General features: G+C 44.4%; 1 annotated feature.

Annotated features, from left to right (window-relative positions):
* Positions 9,504-10,007: an enhancer, noted in NCBI's record as "OCT4-NANOG hESC enhancer chr1:67965969-67966472 (GRCh37/hg19 assembly coordinates)". NCBI's record gives its function as "activates a minimal SCP1, AML or CMV promoter by ChIP-STARR-seq in primed H9 embryonic stem cells {active_cell/tissue: H9 hESC(primed)}" and the evidence as "EXISTENCE:reporter gene assay evidence [ECO:0000049][PMID:30033119]".

The raw sequence follows: 26,285 nt of genomic DNA, 5'->3' as shown, positions 1-26,285 counted from the left end.
GTAAAAGTTGCTGTGTAATTTTTTTATTAGAAGAACAGTAAATCTTTCGATTATAGTTAGTCTTGGTGAAGTACGATATTTATAAAGTTTAGGGTTCTTTAATTCTCAGCACAAAGTGACTGTTGCGGTAACCCCAAATAGTGTGTTGGCAATATTTTTCAAATGGCTAAAAACACCTAAAAATTGTTTATTCAGAAATATCTGTCATTGCTGTTGCCAAAACTCAGAATAGAACTTAGACTTATGTCTAAGTCCCTGAGATCATATGCTAAAATCAATGAAAAGCAACCATTGACACTTTCTTGTGTTACAACTTTTACAGTACACAAAATAACAGAATAGCTTACTGTAATGAGGCATTTGTTAGAGTTTTGCATGAGATTCTAGTACTTCATGGTTGGGTACGGTGGCTCACACCTGTAATCCCAGCACTTTGGGAGGCCAAGGCGGGTGGATCACTTAAGGTCAGGAGTTCAAGACCAGCCTGGCCAACATGGGGAAACCCCACCTCCATTAAAAATACAAAAATTAGTTGGGCATGATGGTGCATGCCTGTAATCCCAGCTACTTTGGGGGCTGAGGCAGGAGAATCACTTGAACCCAGGAGGCAGAAGTTGCAGTGAGCCAGTCACGCCACTGCACTCCAGCCTGAGTGACAGAGCAAAACCCTGTCTCAAAAAATGAAGAAAAAAAAGAGAGATTCTGATACTTCAGGAGGCCCCTACATGGTTCATCTACAATGGTTACTGTATTAGTTCATTTTCACACTGCTGATAAAGACATACCCGAAACTGGGAACAAAAAGAGATTTAATTGGATTTACAGTTCCATATGGCTGGGGAGGCCTTAGAATCATCGTGGGAGGCGAAAGGCACTTCTTACATGGTGGTGGCAAGAGAAAAATGAGGAAGAAGCAAAAGCAGAAACCCCTGATAAACCCGTCAAGTCTCATTAGACTTACTCACTATCACGAGAATAGCATGGGAAAGATCGGCCCCCATGATTCAGTTACCTCCCCCTGGGTCCCTCCCACAACATAAGGGAATTCTGGGAGATACAATTCAAGTTGAGATTTGGGTGGGGACACAGCCAAACCACATCAGTTACCATAAAAAAATTTGGCAGGATTTTAAAACTCAATTACTCCATCTTTCCATTTAGCTACTGGTTGGAAAAGAAAGAGATAAGGAAAAGAGACCATATTAAGTCCATGCCAGTTGCTTGGCTAGAAATATGATAAATGACTTGTAGTAGACTTGAGTTTTTCAGAAATACTATTTTACTTAAACTGTTTCTTATCTAAATTCTTACAGAGTAACAAATTTATCATTGATTATAGAAGACAGGGATAATAACTCTTAACTTTTGCCACTCAAAAATGCAGTGTCAGGAGTGCTAAGCCTAGAGGCCAATATTGATGACCTGGAAGGCGATCCAAGTGATTGTCACCACAAAGTGCCTTTATACAACAAAAACTTGAAAAGTCAAAAAACATGAATTTTAAGTTTCCCATATCACCAGTCTTGGTGTTTATATTGCAAATTTATAATAATATTAAGAAATAATTTGTCCCGTTTGCAAATTACATGGGAGACATAAAGGAGTAAAATCCTTCTGTAATAAAATGAGTTCACCACTGTGGTTACCCATCTACAGAGCCTCTTTGATGAGGCCAATGGGTTGTGCTGCAGGATTTACCCTCAAATCCCCCGCACACACTGGGTTGTGACCAGATCAGCCAAAACCTGCATGTAGGATGTTTTCAAGCCTCATACATGGCAAATGGAAATGATATGGTTGACTGCATTTGTAGGAGAGTCGTAACTGAGGCAGGGGTTGGCCTCCTTTAAGTAATGGAACGATTTCAAAGGCAGGTCTCCCTGACCAAAAATATCTATGAGTAAAGGTGCCTGAAATCCTGCTATGAAAAAATTTAAAAATTAAAACAAATAGGCCAGGCGCAGTGGCTCATGCTTGTAGTCTTAGCACTTCGGGAGGCTGAGGTGGGTGGATCGCTTGAGCTCAGGAGTTTGAGACTAGCCTGGGAAACATGGAGAAACCCCATCTCTACAAAAAATACAAAAATTAGCCAAGAATAGCAGCACACACCTGCGGTTCCATCTATTCAGGAGGCTGAGGTAGGAGGATCACTTGAGCCTGGGAGGCAAAAGTTGCAGTGAGCTGAGAATGTGCCATTGCACTCCAGCCTGGGTGACAGAAAGAGCCTCTGTCTCGAAAATAAATAAATAAATAAAAATAAAAATAAATAAATGTGACAGTTTAGAGATTTAAGAATAATCAGAAGGCATACTAAACAAGTTGTAAATCTTCTTTTGTCCCAATTCAAGTTAACTACTATAAGGAAAAAAATGCTTATAGAGAAATCAAGGAAACATGAATATTCACTAGATATTTGATGATATTAAGACCTTTTTTAGGTTGATCCTGGTATTGTGGTTATATTTTAAATGAGTAGTCATTGCCTTTTAGAGATTCATAGTGAAATATTTACAGATAAAATTATATGAGGCCTGGGATTTGGTTCAAAGTAGCCTGGAGTGAGGACTGAATATTTATTTATGTATTTATTTATTTATTTATAATAGCGATGGGGGGTCTCACTATGTTGCCCAGGCTGGTTTTGAACTCCTGGCCTCAAGTGATCATTCCACCTCAGGATCCCAAAGTGCTGGGATTACAGGTGTGAGCCACTGCACCCAGCCTAAGGGCTATATTTTAGATGAGAGAGTAGAAGCAGCAGGTAGGCCAAAGGTTGATCCTCATTGAGGCTGGGCAATGAGTGCATGGAGGGGTTCTTTTGCTAGTCAGTCTCTACTTCTGTTTATGTTTGAAATCTTCCATATAAAGCATTTTTAAAGAAAGAAAGAGTGTACACACTTTTTGAGAGAGAGAGATTGAAAGATTAAGAAAATACAAAACCAGGCTGGGCACAGTGGCTCATGCCTGTAATCCCAGCACTTTGGGAGGCCGAGGTGGGTGGATCACGAAGTCAGGAGATCAAGACCAGCCTGGCTAACATGGTGAAACCCCATCTCTACTAAAAATACAAAAAATTAGCCGGGTGTGGTGGCATGCGCCTGCAGTCCCAGCTACTTGGGAGGCTGAGGCAGGAGACTCACTTGAACCTGGGAGGCAGAGGTTGCAGTGAGCCGAGATCGTATCACTGCACTCCAACCTGGGTGACAGAATGAAACTCCGTCTCAAAAAAAAAAAAAAAAGAAAAGAAAATACAAAGCTAATTGGAAGTTCTGGGTGTGGCTTTGTGACTGGCTTCATTATCAAGTGATGTGCCTGAGTCATTTGCTAGGAACCTTCTCATTTCAGTATCTTTAGTCCTTTTAACTTGGGCTGTTCATATTTCCCAGAATACATTCTTCCTATTGACAGATGTAGGCGGTAAAGCCCTGGTGGCCGGCTTTCTAGGAACTGAGTTGTGTGGGGTGAGGGCCTCAGCAATTCCATTTGAACAATTCTCCTGAGCTTGTTAGGGAGCTCCCATCTTCACCTGTACCTGGTGTCTCCCAATCTGGAAACCCTGAATTTTGCTTCCTCTGGAAAATAAACCTCCAATCCTCTGTTTGGAGAAGGAAGCAACAGTCATCCAAGTCATCCAGCAGTCCTGGGTGAGGGAAGGAACCTGGGGGCTGTCAACAAATCCTCCCTATATTAATAGCTGCTTAACCCTATTTCTGAAGACTCCAGCTACCACAAATTCCTGAGCCTTTTCAAGATTCTGTGGTGAAAATAAAGTTGGTTCTCAGCTGTTTTCATTGACAGCTTAGGATTCTGTTTCCTTGAGCCTGTTGAAAGGTTTGCCACTCACTCATTTATGTTCTCCTCTCTTGCTCTCCTGGTTTCATGAGTCCACAGAAAATACACACATACACACACAAACACACACACATGACGCTTTTAGCTAGGTTCTGGAAGACAGCAAAAATAAAATATAATGCTCAATATAACATCTTCACTTGTAAATCCCCACTTTAGCCCTCACCCCCTTTTTATTCTTTAATTTAAAAATATCACAGAAGAGTGCATAAAATACAAGTATAGCTTAATGAGAGGTTATAAAACAAAGGCTCATATGACCACTCCTTAGGCCATGAAACAGAACATTCCAGCACTCAAGGAGCCTTGATGAGCCCCACTCTTACCTCAGGCTCCATCGCCAACTGGGTAACCACCATACTGACTTTTAAATGCTTTTCATTTATTTTTCACTTTCTCTGCAGTAGTTATGCTATAACATAGAATTGAGCTTTGCCTGCTTTTGGACTTCATTTGACAGGAAATATGCTGTTGTATTCTTATGTGTCTTGTCTCTTTCCTTGAACAGGACATTTGTGAGGTGTATCCATGTTGCATGTTCTTTGCAGCCTGGTATCCCATTATTAATGCACAGTAGTTTTGCTTTTCCATCTTATTTTTGATGGGCATAGGATTGTGTATAGTTTGGGTCTTGTCTTAGTTCAGGCTACTATAACAAAATACCATAGACTGGATTGCTTCAACAACAGACATTTATTTCTCACAGTTCTGGAGGCTGGGGAGTCCAAGATCAAGGTACCACTCAGACTCCTTCAATCCATAACAGGTCTATTATAAGTAATCATCCTGTGCACATATATACAAATTTCTCTAGCTATATACATAAGAGCAAAACTACCATGTAATAAGCTATGTGAATCTCCAACTTACCCAAAAACTCCCAGTTTTCCCAAGTAGGCCACGTCCTTGCACAATTGAAGGGGGTTGCTATGACCCCATGTGTTCTATGCAAATGGAAACCTCTCAAATGTAAGGTGAATTGGCAACTTTTTTGGGGGGAGCGGGGATGGGATGGGGTCTGTTACCCAGGCTGGAGTGCAATGGCGTGGTGGTAGTTCACCACCATCTTGAATTCCTGGGCTCAGGGAATTCTCCAATCTCAGCCCCCAGCTACACATGTAGCTGGGACCACATGTGTGCGCCACCGTGCCCAGCTAATTTTTTGTAGAGATAGGGTCTCGTCATCTTGTCAAGGCTTGTCTCTAACTCCTGGGCTCAAGCAATCCTCCCAAAGTGCTAGGATTACAGGAGTAAGCCACCACGCCTGGCCTGAATTGGCAACTTTTTGGCTGTGTTGATTTGTTATCCCACGGGCAGTTTTTTGTTTGTTTGTTTTTGAGACGGAGTCTCGCTCTGTCGCCCAGGCTGGAGTGCAGTGGCGCGATCTCGGCTCACTGCAAGCTCCGCCTCCTGGGTTCACGCCATTCTCCTGCCTCAGCCTCCCAAGGAGCTGGGACTACAGGCGCCCGCCACTATGCCTGGCTAATTTTTTGTATTTTTTTAGTAGAGACGGGGTTACACCGTGTTAGCCAGGATGGTCTCGATTTCCTGACCTCGTGATCTGCCCGCCTCGGCCTCCCAAAGTGCTGGGATTACAAGCGTGAGTCACTGCGCCCCCATGGGCAGTTTTTGAGAATTGTCCCCATTGTTTCATATTTTGCTACTCTTGGAATTTTCAGACTTTTTAATTTTGGTGAATCTGATGGGCATATAGTTGTGTTACCTTGTGGTTTTTAGTCACACTTCTGTGGTTACAAGTAAGGTTAAGCACATTTTCATATGTTTCTTGGCCTTTTGAATTATTTTTCTCCCCTTTTTAACATTGTTTTGAGATTATGTCTTAGTTTCTGTAATCTAAACTGTGTAGATAAGATCTTACATATTTAATACAGCATATTACCCCAGTAAAGATCAGAGAAAAAAGTTTACTGTTTCTAAGCCTATGTTAAATTCTGAATAATGCCAGGTTAACATAGCATAGGTGAATTCTTTTTCCAAAGTTGACAGCACAACTAAAACTAACATTTTTATATTTACCTATAAAAATACAACCAACCTCATTCTTTAACCTACAGAAATCTGATTTCCTCATCAACTTTCTTCTTAATGTGTTTTCTAAAAAGTTTGCACTAATTTGCTGTAATCAAATTGTCTCTCATACTGTTCATTCTTTTTGACTGCTCCATAGCATTTGACCATTTATGTCTCCTCTCTTCTTTAAATAAGCTCTCTTTTCTCTTAGTACCCGTGATTTTTTCTCTTAGTACCCGTGATTTTTTCTCTTAGTACCCATGATTTTTTCTGTTAGTTTTCCTCCTGATTCCCTGGAGAAACATTCTTTGTCTTTTTCTATGGTTCTGCTCTCTGACATCCAATGAATGTTGGTGTTTTCCAGTTCTCCATCTTTAGATCCTGTAATAGATAACATTTAGGGTATTTTCCTGGCCTGCAGGCCAACTCTTAATCCCTCTTCCTGGGAATATCCTTCTCCTTCTCCCATATCCACGAGAATGAGCCTTTAACAGGTTATGTTGGCACTGCCTTCCTGGCCTTAGCAGATTGACCCAGGGTGGACAACTGACCAAAGATGGGCCAGTCAGATTCTTGCTCCTTAAAATTAGGAACTACGACCCAACATCTTGTTAAGCTCTTTGGGTGGAACTATGGCATGAGAAGCTAGGAGCCAGAGGCAGCCTCATTCTATCAAGTTAGGCTAAGAAGTGAAGGAAGCTGTCAGGGAGAGAACAGAACAATGCATACAAGTGTAGAGAAGCAGAGACAGGAGACAGTGAGAATCCCTGGCACAACGTTTCAGTTGCCCGGCCTTTTAATGGCCCATGACATTCCCACCCTTGGCCTCCAAAAGACAGTCACAGCTCCATCCTCATTTCAAGTTTCCCATTGTGTTCAGGCTCACTCAACATGGGACTGCTACTTGCAAATTTAAGTCCCAACTGACCTCTTCTCTTCTACTCACTATCCCTGGATGATTTCATTCACATGAGAGCTTATTCCAGAACCCTAACTTACCCAGTTAAAGGACACCATTGCTTTGTATTTCTTGAGAAGAGAGCTCAACAGCTCAAGAAAAATCCCAGCTAATGCACCTGGTTGGACCTTGCCTTATCTCATCTCGGACTTGAGGCTTTTCTGCCGTGGCTTTCTGACCAAGAAATCATGAGTTCTGTCTTTCCTCTTTGGCCCTGCCATCTTCCCCCAGCTTGGTAAGCTTAGTTTAGTTCCCCAAACTGATGCCTCTGATCCAGAATTTTCTCTTAGCCTGGCTAGTTTGACTCAGCACCTGCCTCAGCAAGAAGAGCCATGTTCTCAGCTATGGCCCTCACTGGCTGTTCACTCATATTGGCACCTGTCAGCACATGTTCTCAGAACCCAGTTCCTTAACACTTCTTAGGACAAAGCCCACTCCAGAAATAGCAGACTCATGGCAAGGCTGCCATTTCCTTCTATTACAGTGACAGAAATATTAATGAATTGATCATATCACCATTTCTTGCTGATGCTGGACAGGACAACATCTCAGAATCTTTCAGCACCAACAAAGTATCAATCAGAGTTGAGTCCTGTTAGTGTGAGAGAACAATGACATTATTGGAAAGGAAGAGACATTTAGAGAACTATTGGGGGAAATGTGTTGAATTCCACTTTTAGCATGTAGACTTGAAAAAGCACAATTTTCTTTTTTCTTTTTTTGAGAGAGCATCTTGCTCTGCTGTCCAGGCTAGCATGCAGTGGCACAACCATGGCTCACTGCAGCCTTGACCTCCTGGGCTCAAGTGATCCTTCCACCTCAGACTCTGAGTAGCTGGGACTACAGGTGCGTGCCACCACACTTGGCTAATTTTTTGTATTTTTTGTACAGACAGGGTTTTGCCATGTTGCCCAGCCTGAATTCCTTGGCACAAGCAATCCACCCACCCACCCACCTCAGCCTCCTAAAGAACTGGGATTATAGGCATGAGCCACCATGCCCAGCTGAGAAGGAATAATTTTCAAATGTAGCAGTCTCATAGGCAGCTGGAACACCAGGACTGAAAAGGAATGGGGCTGAGGGGTCGACACCTTCCTTCCCACATTGAGATCTTTCTGCAGACCAGGCTTGCTTCTTTCAGCTGTTGAAGACAGCTTCTTTCAGTTGGTCAATGACCTCTGTGTCTCTGCAGGAACTATTTGCTCTTTGCATAATGTAGTGGTTAAAAACTCAAGTATTAGAGCCAGGCTTCCTGGGTTTGAATCCCAACTCTAACATTTACCAAATGTAGGATTTCAGGTGATTTACTTAGCACCCCACCTGCCTTGTACCATGATTTCTTCATTTGCAAACTGGGATAGTAATTATCTGTATCTCATTGGGTTATTGTGAGGATTCAATGAGTTCATATGTGTAAAGGCTTAGAACAGTTCTCAGTAAATGTCAGTCACCATTATTATCTCATAAGGAGATTATAATATAAGCTTCTTGAAGACCCAGTTGGTGTTCTTCATCTTTTCCTGGCACAGAGATGGTGCTGAATAATAATGAACAGCACAGGCTTTGCAGTCCCAGAGGTCAAATCTCAAATCAGTATTCTACTCAGTAGCTGGGTGAGAATAAGTGTCCTCCTTGTAAAACTGAGATAATAGGCTGGGCATGGTGGCTCACGCCTGTAATCCCAGCACTTTAGCAGGCTGAGGCAGTTGGATCACGAGGTCAGGAGTTCGAGACCAGCCTGGTCAACATGGTGAAACCCTGTCTGTACTAAAAATACAAAAAATTAGCCGGGCGTGGTGACCGGCACCTGTAGTCCCAGCTACTCAGGAGGCTGAGATAGAAAAATCGTTTGAACCCGGGAGGCAGAGGTTGCAGTGAGCCAAGCTCGAGCCACTGCACTCCAACCTGGGCGACAGAGCTAGGCTTCGTCTAAAAACAAACAAAAAAAACACCTGAGATAATAATACCTACTTTGTAGAATTGCTGTATTGAATGAGATAATGTATGTAAATCTCCAGGGACACAGCAAACCTTAAAAAATGCAAACTCTTATTATCCGGGCTAGGTATAGTGTTGTGGGTGTGGAACCAGACTGCTTGGTTTTGAATTCCCGTTCTGCTATACAGTTGCTCTGGGATCTTGGCAAGTTACTTAAGTTCCTTGGACCTCTGTTTTTCTCTCTGTAAAGTGGGAATAATGGTAATAGGGTTGTGGTGTGGCTCAAATAAGAAAATGCATATATTGGCCCAGAGCTTGAGCCAATGCCAGCTTCTTATGATTTGCTTTATAAATCGATGAAGTGTTGAGAAGGTGTTTTAAAATGCACTTGCTAAAGAACAAAATCCATGAGCTCCATAACTGCAAAGACCCATCCTGAAGTCAGATTCTTATTGAGCCAAACCTCGAAAGCAAAGATAGCTCTGAAAGGCAGTAGCCAGGGAACTAAGCCCCTTCTCTAGGTAAGACGTGGGGACAATTAGCACCTAGAATCATAGGCTGCTAGAGCCAGAAGGATCTTTGTGGCTAGTTCATTGTGGGTTGTTTCCTCCTGAGTAATTGAAACCCAGGGAGGTCAGGGGACCCCACCCTAGTTGTGGACTGAGCCAGGACCAAGATTCAGGTCAGTTTAGTGGTTTCGTCACTGCAGCACGATGCTTCCCCATTCCGCAGCCCCCACCTGTGAAAATGAAGCTTGTAGATGCTGCCTATCGCCTGTTCCAAGGCGCCAGGCAGCCGCGAACTTCAAACTCCCCCTGGGCTAAAAGTTCAGCCAGAGCAGTAGATTCAAGCAAGAATGGTGTGGGATCCACTCTTGGCCTGTAGAGGGCGCTCTGAGCACAGGCCAGGGAGCTCGAGCCTGGGACGCGCCACGGCTACGTGGCCTCCAGGGCGAGTGAGGATGGCTGGCTGATTGCTTTTCGCGGGGCATGGGGAAAAGCCTTCAGCCCTTACGCCATCCAGCAGGTGAATGCACTTATGTCCAACAGTAGGTATCACACTTTTTGGTCTCGTGACTCTTTTATACTCTTATTATTGAGGATCCCAAAGAGCTATTGTTTATATGGGTTATATAGATATTTACCATATTAGAAATTAATAATGAGAAATGTTTAAAACATATACCCATTTAAAAATAGCAACAATAAATAATTAAATATTAGCATAAATAGTATTTTTGCAAAAAAAAAAATTTCCAAAACCCCCCAAAAATGCATTTTTTACAAATCCCTTTAATGTGTGTCTTAATAGAAAAGACCTAAGCCAGGGGCGGTGGCTCACGCCTGTAATCCGAGCACTTTCGGAGGCCAAGGCAGGTGGATCACGAGGTCAGGAGTTCGAGATCAGCCTGACCAATATGGTGAAACCCCGTCTTTACTAAAAATACAAAAATTGGCGTGGCGGCACGTGCCTGTAATCCCAGCTACTCAGAAGGCTGAGGCAGGAGAATCGCTTGAACCCGGGAGGCGGAGCTTGCAGTGAGCCGAGATGGCACCACAGCACTCCAGCCTGGGCGACAGAGTGAGACTCCATCTCAAAAAAAAGAAAAAAAGAAAGAAAGAAAAGACCTGAATTTTCCTTTTGCAGTGAGTCCCTATCAATTTCACAAGTCAGGTAACCTCTGAAAAACTCCACTATGTACTCTGAGAGAGTAAGAGTAAAAAATAGTTAAATCTTGAGAATTCCCTGAAAGTATCTCAAGGACACCACTCCGGGACATACTTGAAGAACTGCTGTGTACGAGAACGTCTATCTAGGCTAGGCGTGATGCCTCACACCTCTAATCCCAGCACTTTGGTAGACCTTGGCAGGAGGATCCCTTAAGCCTGGGAAATTGAGGCTGCAGTGAGCCATGATCATACCACTGCACTTCAGCCTGGGAGTCAGAGTGAGACTCTCTCAGCAACAACAAAAAACCTTTCAGCCAGGGATGGTGGCTTACCCCTGTAATCCCAGCACTTTGGGAGGCTGAGGCAGGCGGATCACTGGAGATCAGGAGTTCAAGACCAGCCTGGCCAACATGGTGAAACCCTGTCTCTACTAAAAATACAAAAATTAGCTGGGCTTGGTGGCAGGCGCCTGTAATCCCAGCTACCCAGGAGGATGAGGCAGGAGAATTGCTTGAATCTGGGAGGCAGAGGTTGCAGTAAGCCAAGATCGCACCACTGCACTCCAGCCTAGGCAACAGAGCAAGACTCTGTCTCAAAAAAATAAAAATAAAAATAAATAACTTTTATCTTAGTGTGATTTATAGAAGGGAGACTCTCCCCCGCTCCCTTCTCACTGCCACCAGCCTGCTTCAGACTTGGATTACATCGGTCAGACTTCAGAAAAAGCCTCAGAACTGGTTTCCTTGCCCCTGTCATCTCACCACCTCAATTTGCGAAGATACTATAATTTTTATAAAATACTGCATGATTAAGTTACTGTCCTCCTCAAAACCCTCAAATGATTCTTCAGTGCCTGGTCAATGAGGCTGACATGCCTGAAGGTCAGGCTCCATGATCTGATTGTAGCCCAAACTTCCAGGCTTCATTCACACTCAGGCCCATACGGGGGCCTCATGGGCCTGATGGGTTTGGTTCCACTTGTCCCTTCACTCGCAACACCTTCTGTCCCATCTCCTCCCATTCTCCTTTTGCTTTCAGACTCATGCCCCTTGCTGGAGATTTTTTATTTTATTTTATTTTATTTTATTTTATTGCCAGAGTCTTGCTCTTTTGCCCAGGCTGGAGTGCAGTGGCATGATCTTGGCTCACCGCAACCTCCACCCCCCAGGTGCAAGCGATTCTTCTGTCTCAGCCTCCCGCATAGCTAGGATTGCAGGTGTGCACCACCACACCTGGCTAATTTTTGTATTTTTAGTAGAGACAGGGTTTAACCATGTTGGCCAGGCTGTTCTCGAACTCCTGACCTCAAATGATCCACCCACCTCGGCCTCCCAAAGTGTTGGGATTACAAGCATGAGCCACAGCGCCCAGCCTGGAGATCTTTTACACGATTCTCAAACGGGGTTTGCCCTCCTACACAAAACCTGGTGTTCTGATGTGGTGCTTTTCATCCAGCTGTTGCCAGATAGGTCCCCAAAAAAGTTGCTTTGTCAGTTTCTTATTCCCACTGTAACAAAATGCCACAAACTTAATGGCTTTACATCACAAATTCATCTTATCGTTCTGGAGGTCAGAAGATGGATATGGTTCTTGGGGGCCACAGTCAAGCTGTTGGCAGAGCTATATTTCATATGGAAGCTCTAGGGGAGAATCAATTTCCTTGTCTCTTCTGGCTTCTAGAGTCCTCCTGCATTTCTTAGCATATGGCCCCTTCCTCCATCTGCAAAGTGCATCACTCCAACCTCTGCTTCCCTTCCATCCTCACCTCTCCCTCTTTCTCTGACTCAGCTGCCTTCCTCTTATAAGGACCCCTGTGATTACACTGGACCCACCTTACTAATCCAGGGTAATCTCCCCATCTCAAGGTCCTCAACTTAATTACATCTTCAAAGTCCATTTGCTATGTATTATAACATATCAGAGGCTCCAGGAATTAGGATGTGGAACTGGGTGGTGGACAGAGTGGAGGGACATTATTCAGTCTAACACAGTCATTAATGCCAAAAGATGAAAGTCAAAATCCACCCACCATGAGCTGTACAAGTTTAGCAGTCAGACATATGTCCCTACGTGGAGATAATATTCATCCAATTGCTTTGAAGATTAAATGAGATAATCTACATGAAGCATGATGACAGCTGCACAGTGATCACTTGCCAAGTGCCTGTGACTATTATTATTAGCCATTATTATGGCATTTACCACCAGGTGACTTAGGGTCCTCTTCACAACACCCATCATACTTCATAACTAGATATTTATTTTGGGTGATTGTTTAGTACTTGATGATTTTTTAATTGATTCTAAAGTACGTAAACATTACCTTAATGCATTCATGGGTAAAAAAATGAAGAAGACACCTGGGCGCGGTGGTTCACGCCTGTAATCCCAGCACTTTGGGAGGCCGAAGTGGGTAGATCGTGAGGTCAGGAAATCGAGACCATCCTGGCTAACACAGTGAAACCCCGTCTCTACTAAAAATACAAAAAAATTAGCCGGGCGTGGCAGCATGCCCCCTGTAGTCCCAGCTACTCGGGAGGCTGAGGCAGGAGAATGGCATGAGCCTGGGAGGCAGAGCTTGCAGTGAGCTGAGATGGCGCCACTGCACTCCAGCCTGGGCGACAGAGCGAGACTCCATCTCAAAAAAAAAAAAAAAAAATGAAGAAGACAAATTCCTGTTCTCAAGATTAAGGCCATGTGGATGAAATATATATGCTTTTATTAGGAACCAAGATAAAACTCTTTGTAAGGAGCACAGAAGAACGGTTTCTATCTCTTAAAAAGGATGGAAAAAGATGCTGTTAAAAAATAAATTCTTCTTACAAAAAAATTAGTTTGTTTAACGTATTTCTCTCATATTAGATAATGAGCTCAATATGGGCAAGGACTGTTTTACATACCATCAAATTCCCAGAACCTAGTCCAATAGCTCATACATAGTTAACACTCAATACATATTTGTGAAATTAATGAATTAAATCTAACTTTAGGCCAGGCGAGGTGGCTTATGCCTGTAATCCCAGCACTTTGGGAGGCCAAGGCGGGCAGATCACTTGAGGTCAGAAGCTCAAGGCCAGCCTGGCCAACATGGTGAAACCCCATCTCTACTAAAAATACAAAAATTAGCCAGGCATGGTGGCGCATGCCTGTAGTCCCAGCTACTTAGGAGGCTGAGGCAAGAGAATCGCTTGCACCTGGGAGATGGAGATTGCGATTGCAGTGAGCCGAGATTATGCCACTGCACTCCAGCCTTGGCGACAGAGTGAGACTCTGTCTCAAAGAAAAAAAAAAAAGAGTCCTATCTTGCGAAACAGAGCAAGGTCATGGCTCCAGTGGCAGAAGAAAGGACGGTCAGTGGCAGGAAATAGGTGTGAACGGAACAGTCACCAGGGCACCCAGACACCCCCAGGGAAATGGCAGGTGCAGCTTTATTTCCCGCATTATGGAGAGAGGGAAAAAAAGTGTCAGTCTCTTATTAGGGAGAGTAATTACATCCTTTATAACTGTGTACCTAATTAGTTTCTTTCTAACCATTCTCATCATGAACAAACACATTAAATAATTGGAGAGAAGAGGAGATAAGAAAGAGAATTAACATTTGAGAAGAGACTACCATGTGTCAGACAAGCACTGTGCTCGGCATCCTTCTGTATGTTAGCTCTCTAACCCTCACTAAAACAAACACACAAACCAAAGATGATTCAGTAGTTGATATTTTATCAGCTACATCTCCCAGGGCCTCAGAAAGTTTTAAGTCATTACAGAGCTGGCAGGCAGCATTGCTACAATTTGAACCCAGTTTCTACAAAACCCATGGTTGTTTATTGTTGTTGTTGTTTGTTTGTTTGTTTTTTTGAGACGGAGTTTCGCTCTTGCTGCCCAGGCTGGAGTACAATGGTGCGATCTCGGCTCACTGCAACCTCTGCCTCCCAGGTTCAAGCAATTCTCCTGCCTCAGCCTCCCCAAGTAGCTGGGATTACAGGCACGCGCCACCACACCCAGCTAATTTTGTATTTTTAGTAGAGATGGGGTTTCTCCATGTTGGTCAGCCTGATCTCGAACTCCTGACCTCAGGTGACCCACCCGCCTCGGCCTCCCAAAGTGCTGGGATTACAGGCGGGAGCCACCGCGCCCAGCCAAACCCGTGGTTTTTATATTACAGTTTTCCATTATTGAGCAGTTGCTATATGACAGGCACTTGCAAATGATATTCCACAGAATCTTCTCCACTGCCTATGGGAAGTGATTTCATACAACCTTTTGATTTATTTATTTTTTTTTTTTTTGGGACAGTCTGGAGTGCTGTGGTGCAATCTCTGCTCACTGCCAACTCCACCTTCCCAGTTTAAGCGATTCTCCTGCCTCAGGCTCCTGAGTAGGTGGGACTACAGGTGCAGGCCACCATACCTCGCTAATTTTTGTATTTTTAGTAGAGATGGAGTTTCACCATGTTGGCCAGGATTGTCTCAAATGCCTGACCTCAGGTGCTCTGCCCAACTTGGCCTCCCAAAGTGCTGGGATTACAGGCATGAGCCACTGCACCTGGCCCATACAACCATTTTATAGGTGAGGAAGCCAAGGCTCAGAAAGGTTAGTACCTTGTCCAAGTCTATATTTACAAATCTGAAGATTTCACATGGAAATTTTGAAAAAAAATTACAAGATAAGAGAAATAGCTCTAGCTATGTTAAGCTATAAACAATGACAGACATATTGCATGTTTGTAAAATTGGTGGAAAGGCTGGAGGAGTGGGCTCTAGGCTGGGCCCCTAGGGATGGCACCAGAACAACATCCAGAGTGGCTGGCCAAGCTGGTATCCCAACTGCTGACTCCAGGCTCCTTCCACCTTAACCACAATCCAGGATCAGGCAGCTGCCATTGTCAGTGCTGGTTCTGCATTGGCCAGACCTACACTAGCAACACAGGTGACCTGGGTGACTCCACCTTTATTCCCATTTAACTCGACTCTAACTTTGACTCTTCCGCAAATACATCTGGATGATGGGTTCTAATCATACCCAGAAACAGTAAAGGAGGCTGAGAAAGGTGGATTTTACCTTCCTAGCCTCTGCAGTTCAGGAAGGCACCAGGAGGAAGGAGGGAGAGATGCTAAGCAAGTCATTCTACTGTATCTGTCATAGTCTGCATTCCCACGGGCCATCCATCTGCTGGAGCTGAGAAGCCCTCTTCAGAAGAAGCCAAGGATCAAGTCTTCCAACTCTCATTAGCACTTTGTATGTTGTTAATCTGTTACTTCTGTCTGCCAGACAGTATCCCATTGTGTGAATGTCCCACTTTTTAACCTATCCACTCTGCCAGCAATGGAACCCAAACTGCTCTTTGGGCCTCCTGGGAAAAACATATGCTTGGATTCTATGGGATTTTGAGGTTGCATCACCTGACTTCAGTTGCATCCACTGTAGAATGGAGATAATAACAGTAATAAGCAACATGTATGAAGCAGTTACCATTAATTCAGGCTCTCTTTTAAATGCTGTCCGTATACTACTTCATGTAACACACTCCTCATGGAATTATCATGAGGATTAAATTAAGTAAAGTAGTTAGATAATGGTGACTGCCTGATCCTGGATTGTGGTTAAGTTCGTAGGAGTCTGGAGTCAGCAGTTGAGATACCCTTTTGGCTAGCTGATCTGGGTGCTGTTCTGGTGCCATTTGTAGGGGCCCAGCCTAGAGCCCGCTCCTCCAGCATTTCCATTAATTTTTTATAAAAGTGCAATATCCTGTCATCTTTTATAGCTTATATAGCTAGTATTTTTATTTTTATTTTTTAATTCTTTGTTTTGTTTTGTTTTGTTTTTTGTTTTTTTGAGACGGAGTCTCGCTCTGTTGCCCAGGCTGGAGTGCAGTGGCGTGATCTCAGCTCACTGCAACCTCCACCTCCTGGTTCAAGCAATTCTCGTGCCTCAGCCTCCCAAGTGGCTGGGATTACAGGCATGCACCACCACGCCTGGCTGATTTTTGCATTTTTAGTAGAGACAAGGTTACACTATGTTGGCCAGGCTGATTTTGAACTTCTAGCCTCAAGGCATCCACCCTGCCATCCACACCTCAGCCTCCCAAAGTGTTGGGATTACAGGCGTGAGCCACCACACCCAACCTAGAGCTGTTTTTCTTATCTTGTAATTGTTTTCAAAATTTCAATGTGAAATCTTCTGATTCATAAATAACGGACTTGGGCATAGTCGTGGTCAATAAGTAACAGTTATTATCATCAAGCAGCAGATCAAGAGCTAGATACCAGAGCCTGGTCTTGGTCTGACAGCCTGGAATGTTCCCCGAGGCAAGGTGCCTTGGTTTGCCTCTGTGCACTCACCCTATGGCCTGTGCAATTTTGATTCTAGCCCTTAAAACAAAGATAGCACTGATTCATTTATGTTTCTAACGTCCCACAAGGTTAGGATGCCTTTGAGGCTGGGATGGGTCTCATTATTTTCTGTATTATAATCCCAGCACCTAGTACAGTGACTGGCACATGTCAATCAAATATTCAATCTATGCCTGTTGGATGAAGACAGAAGTGTTTAAGGGTGTTTATGACTAGGCCTGAACCTTCTAAGAGAAAGACCTTGGCAGATATAAATTCCACTGGAGTTACAAAGAATATGGACACATTGGCCTCTGAAGGTCAAAAAAGGAATTTTTTTTTTTTTTTTTTTTTTTTGAGACAGAGTCTTGCTCTGTCACCAAGGCTGGAGTGCAATGGACCATCTTGGCTCACTGCAACCTCTGCCTGCCCGGTTCAAGTGATTCTCCTGTCTCAGCTTCCGGAGTAGCTGAGATTACAAGCATGCACCAACACACCCGACTACTTTTGTATTTTTAGTAGAAACGGGGTTTCACCATGTTGGTCAGGCTGGTCTCGAACTCCTAACCTCAGGCGATCCACCCACCTCCGCCTCCCAAAGTGCTGGGATTACAGGTGTGAGCCACCACGCCCTGCAAAAGGGATATTTTTTAATATGCCAGGGAATGTCTTCCCCCTTAGGGGATGAACCGTTGGGAGAAACCAAAACCCAGGGCTGTTTCCTACATGCCTGGCAGAAGCCTTGTTTGGGGGTTGAGGGTGGAACAGAGGGAGGCTAGCACTTTTCACAATGTTGAAGCAGACCTGCTGTTCTCAAAAATGAGCTTTTCTAAAGGGCTTATTCACAGATCAACTGGCTACTTTATTTATTTATTTATTTACTTACTTATTTATTTATTTTAGATGGAGTCTCACTCTATTGCCCAGGCTGGAGTGCAGTGGCACCATCTCGGCTCACTGTAACCTCCTACTCCTGGGTTTGAGCGATTCTTCTGCCTTGGCCTCCCTAGTAGCTGGGACTATGGGCACGTGTCATCATGCCCGGCTGATTTTTGTATTTTTAGCGGAGATAGGATTTCACCATGTGCCAGGTTGGTTGGTCTCAAACTCCTGACCTCAAGTGATCTGCCCACCTCAGCCTCTCAAAGTGCTGGGATTACAGGCGTGAGCCACTGCGCCCGGCAGAAACTGGCTACTTTATATGCTTCAGATCAGCATGCCTCAAGATCTTCAGTCACATTGCCAGGGACTGATGGGTTCAAGGTTAATTACATGATTCTATCCAACCAGGATTTATCGTGCCCACCTTGCGGAAGAGTCAATTAACCCCTCTTGAGCTTCTGCTGCCTGTGAGGCACTCGTGGACAGTTCCATCTACAGTGCTAAGCTTAATCCTTCTTAGCCACCCTGTGGGTGCATGCTGTTGCTACCCACTTTTTCAGATGAGGCAACCGAGGCTGGAAGAGCCTGAGAAACTAGCTCTAGGCCTCTCCCCTGAGTGGTAGAGAAACCAGGCTTTGAACCTAGGGCTGTCTGACTGCAGGGCAGTGTGCAAGTCACAGCAGGAGCTAGCACCTTGACTTTGTCCTTTAATAACACCTCTCACAATTGTAATTCATCAATTGTATCATCATGAGTTTATTGTCTGCCTTCCTGGCCACACTGTCTGCTCTAGAACGACCAGAGCCATGCCTGTGTCGTCCACAGCTATGTCCTCAGCACCAGCAAATAATGGGCCTGGCACAAAATGGAAACCTGCTTTCATTCATTAAAAGAATTTTTAAATGAATGAATGAAATTAACAAACAAAAATGACATAGATATCCTGCTCTGTAGCATGTGATGATGGTCACATTCTCAGCTCCTTGCTAACTCTCACCTGGCTTGTTAAAATAATTTCCTTATTGTCTCCACATTTCTGCTAATTTTACCCTCCTGCATAAGGGAATAAGCTTGATCTTTCCTTCTTTTTTTTATCATTAAATTACACTGGAAGGCTTGATCTTTCTTAAAAAGCACACTTGAGCGTGTGTGGTGATTCAGCACTTTGGGAGGCCAAAGTGGGAGGATCCCTTGAGCCCAGGAGTTCAAGACCAGTCTGGGCAACATAGCAAGACTCCATCTCTACCAACAACAACAAAAAATAGTTGGACACAGTGGCACACACTTGTGTTCCCAGCTAATCGGGAGGCTGAAGTGAGAGGATCACTTGAGCCCAGGACGTCAATGCTGCAGTGAGCCATCATCATGCCACTGCGCTCCAGCCTGTGAGTGACAGAGTGAAACCCTGTCTCAACAGAAAAAGGGGAAGAAAAAGCACACTCATAGCACATTGCAGGCCTCCTGAAAGTTGTTACCAGTGCCCCATTCCCTGCAGGACAGAGTCTGAGCTACTGGGAAGGGCTTCTAAGGCTATGTGCTTCCCATCTGCCTCTGGAACCTTAGTTGGCTGCTCTGAGGCCCAGGCCTTGCCCCCGGCAACCTCAAGCACTTTATAACACCAGCCTTTCTGAGCTACCTCACTGGTTCCCAACCTTGCTTTCTTTACCAGAAATCTCCTCCCCACCTCCTATCAAACCCCAACCCCATGCCTTGCTTTGTGTGCCTGATAGACGTTAGCTCACTCTTTTTCCCCAGATGTGGTAAAATTCACAAAACATGGGACGGGTGCAGTGGCTCACACCTGTAATCCCAGCTCAGGAGTTTGAGACCAGCCTGGGCAACATGGCGAAACCATGTCTCTACCAAAAATACAAAGAAATATAGCCAGGTGTGGTGGCATGTGCCTGTCGTCCCAGCTACTCCAGAGGCTGAGGTGGGAGGATCACTCGAACCCGGGAGGCGGAGGTTGCAGTGAGCTGTGATCGCACCACTGCACTCCAGCCTGGGTGACAGAGTGGGACCTTGTCTCAAATTTAAAAATAGACAAATAAATAAATCGAAAAGACCCAAGGCTTCTTGGAAGAGGTAGGAATCAAACTGGTCATTGAAAGTCATGTGGGCATCATTCAAAGAGTGGATTTGAGGAGGCACAGAGAGGACCAAGAAAGCACATTAGAGGCCCAGAGAATGAGGCTTGAGCAAACCCTGTGGGAGAAGGGGTGTTGAGCAGATTCTAGAAGGATGTGGCTGAAGCAGAGGACATGTGGGCACAGTTGGAGATAGGCCTGGAAAAGTAGATTGGGACCAAGTGTGTAATGAATCTGTAGTCAATGAGGAACTATGAAATGTGAAAATTGCGGCTGGGCACGGTGGCTCACACCTGTAATTCTTTCACTCTGGGAGGCCAAGGCAAGAGGATTGCTGGAGGCCAGGAGTTTGAGACCAGTCTGGGCAACATAATGAGACCCTGTCTCTCCAAAGAATTAAAAACTTAGCTGGGCATGGTGGCACACACCTGTAGTCCTAGCTACTTGGGAGACGGAAATGGGAGGATTGGGTAAGCCCAGAGGTTTGAGGCTGCAGTGAGCTATGATCACACCACAGCACCCTGGGACAGAGCAAGATCTTGTCTCTACAAATAAATAAATATGATCTGAAAATTGAGTATGAAATACTCAGAATACTGAGATCATGGTTTAGGAAGATAACTGCAGGGTCTACAGGAGGATGGGTTTAAATGGGGAGAGACTAACTACTAGGTTTGCACACTCAGATGCCTACAGAGGGCAGACAAGGAACAAAATTGCAATAGGTACCTGGTCAACTGAACCACACATACCTTCTCATCAGTGGGCTGCCGCTGCTCAGTTCCAGCCAATGCTGCCATGTAGATTATGAGTCCAGTGTTATCAGATTTTTCCATTTTTCAGGGAAAGCCAAACAATACAGATTTTCATGAGATGCTAACTTGTTTAAAATTTTTATTTTTAATTAATTTAATTTAATTTTAATTTTTTAAATTTATTTATTTTTTCTTGGGAGACGGGGTCTTGCCCTGTCATCCAGGCTGGAGTACAGTGGCGCGATCACAGCTCACTGCAGCCTCAAACTCCCTGGTTCAAAGGATTTTCTCACCTCAGCCTCCCAAGTAGCTGGGACTACAAGCACGTGCCACCACACCTGGCTGATTTTTGTATTTTCAGTAGAGATGGGGTTTCACCATGTTTCCCAGGCTGGTCTCAAACTCCTGGGCTCAAGCTGTCTGCCCACCTCGGCCTCCCAAAGTGCCGGAATTACAGGCAAGAGCCACTGTGCCTCGCCCAGGACTCTAACTTTTAAGTATGAACTTGTAAGTTAAAATGACTCTCAGACCACCTGTGTGGAGTCTCTGAGAAAAGAGTAAACTATTTTAATAGTCCAGGAAGAAGTGACCAAGTCCTTATCTAGGGCAGTGGCAATGGGAACCAAACATGGAAACAGACAGCACAAAACCTGGTGGAAGTAGGATCCACTGAATTTGATGACTAACTGGATGTAGAAAATGAAGAAGAAATGTTGAGAAAGACTCTGATGTTTCCAGTCTATATGCCTTAGAGGAAGCTGATGCCCCAGGCAGCTTCATAAAATGGAACAAGAATAGATGTTGAATCAGAGAGAACTAGCTCAAACGCAGCTCTACCACTTACTAGCTATGTGACCTTGAACATGTTACCTAACGTCTCTGAGCCTTGGCTTCTTCGTCCATTATATGAGGTTAATCTGAATGCATCCCTCTTGAGTCATTTATACAGATCAAATGGGGTCATGCACCTAGTGTGCTTAGCACAGAGTGTGGCACATAGTAAGAGCTCAAAGGTTTGTTGTTGAAATTTATTGGCAACATTCCTTTACTCTACGTTCAGCAAGAGCCTCCACTGTTTTCTTTTCTTTTTTTTTTTTTTTTTTTTTTTTTTTTGAGATGGAGTCTCGCTCTGTCACCCAGGCTGCAGTGCAGTGGCACAATCTTAGCTCACTGCAACCTCTGCCTTCCGGGTTCAAGTGATTCTCGTGCCTCAGCCTCCCGAGTAGCTGGGATTACAGACACAAGGCACTGTGCCAGCCTCTTTTTTTTTCTTTTTTAAGAAAAACTCTCACTCCATCACCCAGGCTGGAGTGTAGTGGCATAATCTCGGCTCACTGCAACCTCTGCCTCCAGGTTCAAGCGATCCTCCCACCTCAGCCTCCAGAGTAGCTGGGACTACAGGCACACACCACCACACCCGGCTGTATTTTTTGGTATTTTTGGTAGAGGCAGGGTTTCGCCATGTTGCCCACGCTGGTCTCGAACTCCTAACGTTAAGTGATCCACCCACCTCAGCCTCCCAAAATGCTGGTATTACAGGCATAAGCCATTGTGCCCAGCTTAGGTCATGTCATTTTTGGGTTGGATTTTCTGACATGTGTCACCAAAAGATTCCTAACTGATTTGATTACAACTACTATTACCATGACTTTTCCACTTTGATTCCAAATGATGTCATAGGCTTTGTAGAGTTTAAAGCTGGCAGCCCCTGGGAAGGCTATCTCTAGTGGTGGTACCTCGAAGACGAGGTCCTGTTCTTGGATACCTCTAAGATGAGAGGATGAACAGAACACGTATTTGTGAAAGGTCCAAGGTACTCTGTGAAGGTGCAGTGAACCTGTCAAAGCTCAGCACACCTTACATCAGTTCAGCATACTTTCAGCCCCATTTTGCTTGTTAGAGAATGACTGTATCAAGGAACCAGTGGTGTGAACTGGATTAGTTCACTTATTAAAAACATGTTTTTATGTTTACATTAACTGCCTTCCTCACTAAACTGTCCGCTTTGCATATATGGACTTTCTCATCTTTACAGACTTTGCAGACAGAGAGAGCCTTTGAGATCATCTAGGCCAAAGTTATCCAACGTATAGTAAAGGGGTCACTCTTTTCAAAGTTGAGAAGTGGAGTCAGGCACTGTAGCTCACACCTGTAATCTTAGCACTTTGGGAGGCCGAGGCAGAAGGATTGCTTGAGAACAGGAGTTTGAGATCAGCCCGTGCAACATAGTGAGAACTCATCTCGATTTTGTTTGTTTGTTTGTTTGTTTTTGAGACACAGTTTCACTCTGTTGCCCAAGCTGGAGTGCAGTGGCGTGATCTTGGCACACCTCTGCCTCCCGGGTTCAAGTGATTCTCCTGCCTCAGCCTCCCAAGTAGCTGGGATTACAGGCAGCCACCACCATGCCCAGCTAATTTTTGTATTTTTAGTAGAGACAAGGTTTCACCATGTTGGGCAGACTGGTCTTGAACTCTTGACCTCAGGTAATCTGACTGCCTCGGCCTCCCAAAGTGCTGGGATTACAGGCATGAGCCACCGTGTCTGGCCCCATCTCTATTTTTAAAAAAAGAAAAAGAAAAAGAACTTGGAAGCAGGAGGAAGGAGTGGAGGATAGAAACTGCAATACAGATTCGTGGACCTTACCTTGACCTACTGGATCAGGATCTCAGGGATGGGCCTAGGAATAGTAGTAGCTTCACGGGGTTGGGTAAGTCAGTTGATGTCTTTAAACCTGAGTTACTATGTGTATAAAATGGGGGCAATAATTCTTCTTAAGTTTGTTGGGAAGATCAAAGCCAATGATGTAAGTAAAGTGTCCAACCAAGCCTGGTATAAAAATGGCTTCTGAATTAAAGTATGTAATTCAAGCTATACCCTGACTTCAGGGAGAACCCTGCCCAGGGAGTGTATATCCCCACCTTCACTGCCATCTGAGGTATGAGTGGGGTACAGTAGCTTACCTGTGACAATGACAGCAACACATTTGTTGAATGTTTATGTGATAGGTACTTAGCTCTAGCACTTAACTAACATTGACTTATTAAATTCTCACAATAATCCTATGAGGTAGATTGTTTTTTAAAGGCCTGCTTTACAGATAAAAAACTCAGGTACAGAGCAGTTAAGTAATATGCCCAAAGTTATAGCTTCCAAGTATCAGAGCTAGGACTCTAACCTAAGCAGTCTGGCTCCAGAAAACCTAAAGAATTTGTAACAGTAAGCTTTACCAAGGCCTGCTTGTCCTAAAATAAAAGGGTAGGGTCCCCAAGTCCCAAAGTGTCCTCCTTTCTTTCTCTTTTTTGAGACAGAGTCTTGCTCTGTCACCCAGGTTGGTGAGCAGTGGCGCCATCTCAGCTCACTGCAATCTCTGCCTCCCAGGTTCAAGCAATTCTTCTGGCTCGGCCTCCCCAGCAGCAGGGATTACAGGCATGTGCCACCATGTCTGGCTAATTTTTGTACTTTTAATAGAGACAGGATTTCACCATGTTGCCTAGGCTGGTCTCAAACTCCTGACCTCAAGTGATCTGCCCACCTCAGCCTCCAAAAGTGCTGGGATAACAGGCGTGAGCCACCATGCCCAGCCGTGTCCTCCTTTCTTGATGAACACGTGCTAGCCTGCCTCAGAGATACAGCTGAAGGATGAGACCCAAAATGAATTGCAGATCCCGACAAAATGAGTTCTCAAACTCTCACCAGGGGCATGTTGGGATCAAACAAAGGGAAGCACCAGGAAGCACCGGGCCTGGGGCAGAAGGATTCTTTCTGGGGAAAGCAGTCTAGATGGGGACCTGGAGACTCCCCCAGAGCATGGTTAGTTTATTTCAGTTTGCCTGGGCTGACTTCAGCTTTACACAATTCATTTTCCTCTGCTTGGAATTCTCCCTTGGCTTCTCTATCCCTTATAGTCCAATCCTTCAAATCCAATCCTTAACATCCTCAGAGAGGCCCTCTCTGATTATTCCAAAGTCAATGTCCTGTCCCATCCTCCACTCTTGAGTCTTCTCTGTAATAGCCAATTCTTTATTTCCTATCAGCAGTTACCATACTTGTAATTATTTACTGTCTCTGTTTCTTTTCAGTCTTCCCTACTGCTCCCACATGGCAGGCAGGAACCATGTCTGTCTTCTTCACTATTGTAAACTCCAGGGCCTGATTGTAACCAAGGTGTGGCATGTAATTGGTTCAGTCAGTGTTTGTTGAGTGCATGGGTAATTAGTTGAAAAACACAAATGGATTATGTTGGCCTTTCCCTCTCCCGCCCTCTGTAACACCTACACCTCCACACTTCACCCTACACCTTTCCCTTTGAAGGAAACTGCTGACCTAAGGCAAGAGACATATCACTGTCTTCAGCAGGGAACTTCTCCCACCTCTCAGCCCCAGCTTTGCCAAAAGCACTCACATCTTTTGGGAGGAAGGCTGCAGCAAGCACAAGAGTGGAAGAGTAGATGAGTGGCTCAAAACACCCACTTACGGGTTTTTAAAATGCACTAGCTTTGGAGCTCCGAAGTCTTCATTCCTAGAAAGGAAAATAGAATGGAATGAGGTGATTCATACTATAGGGAGCAATGGCTTTTTTTCAGGCCAGCACCAGCATCAGTAACCACTGTACACAAAGTATCTTTAACTCAATCCATTGAATAACACCCAAGGTTCATTTTTTTGTTTTTTTTTTTGTGTTTGTTTCTTTGTTTGTTTTTGTGACACAGTCTCACTCTGTTACCCAGCCTGGAGTGCAGTGGTGTGATCTTGGCTCACTGCAACCTTCAACTCCCGGGTTCAAGCAATTCTCCTGCCTCAGCCTCCCAAGTAGCTGGAATTACAGGCACATGCCACCATGCCCGGCTAATTTTTGTATTTTTAGTAGAGATGGGGTTTCACCATGTCGGCCAGGCTGGTCTCAAACTCCTGACCTCAAGTGATCCACCTGTCTCAGCCTCCCAAAGTGCTGGGATTACAGGCTTGAGCCACTGCGCCTGGCTGGTTCAAATAAATTAATCCACAGCTGAGATCACAGCTGGAAACAAGAGAGGACAAAAAGAAGGCACCAGAGCTTCATCCCACCATCCCAGCTGTAAACAATCCATGCTTCTATTGACCTTGCCAAGAAAAATACTGAAACACGGTTGGGGGCAGGGAGCAAGTTTGCTGTTTGAATGTGTTCTCCTCCAAAACCCTCCACCCCCACAGAGCCCTGGGAAAGTAAAACTGAAAACTCAGGATGACTTCAAAGTGGCAAATGGTACAATTCAATGAGGAAACCAGGCTTACATGATCATTAAAACAGCAGAGTCTCCCAGAAGGCAATCCCTAGAAATAAAATGCCAAGCACAGTCCAAGCCATCAGAAAGCCTCCGGAGTAGGCATTTGCAGGTTGACAGAAACTATCCCACTTAATGCTCACAGAGAAAAGTAGAATATAATCCCAACTCCTTGGACTTATGTTCTTTCTGAGGCTTGGAATTAATTAGTCAACAGTTGCTCTGAAATTAATTCAACATTTTTTTTAGCTCTGTGACTCTGGGCAAGTTACTTGACCTCACTGGGTTCTATATTATTCTACAGAATGAAAATAATTGTCCTTTACATAGGGATATGTAAAGATTAAGTAAATTATAATAAATGTAAGTGATTTGTACTGTTTGACACATAGTCAATGCTATGAAACTGTTGAAAACCAATTTCTTTTGCAAATGTTGATATGGTTATAGCAAATATAATGAGGCTTGAACATGCATCCATCATATTGTATGCTAATACTAGTTTGCTTTTCATTTCCATGC

Source organism: Homo sapiens, chromosome 1 (genome assembly GCF_000001405.40).
Source record: "Homo sapiens chromosome 1, GRCh38.p14 Primary Assembly".
Classification (NCBI taxonomy): Eukaryota; Metazoa; Chordata; class Mammalia; order Primates; family Hominidae; genus Homo; species Homo sapiens.
The sequence above is the reverse complement of the archived record's forward strand: the minus strand, read 5'-3'. Positions and strand labels throughout refer to the sequence as shown.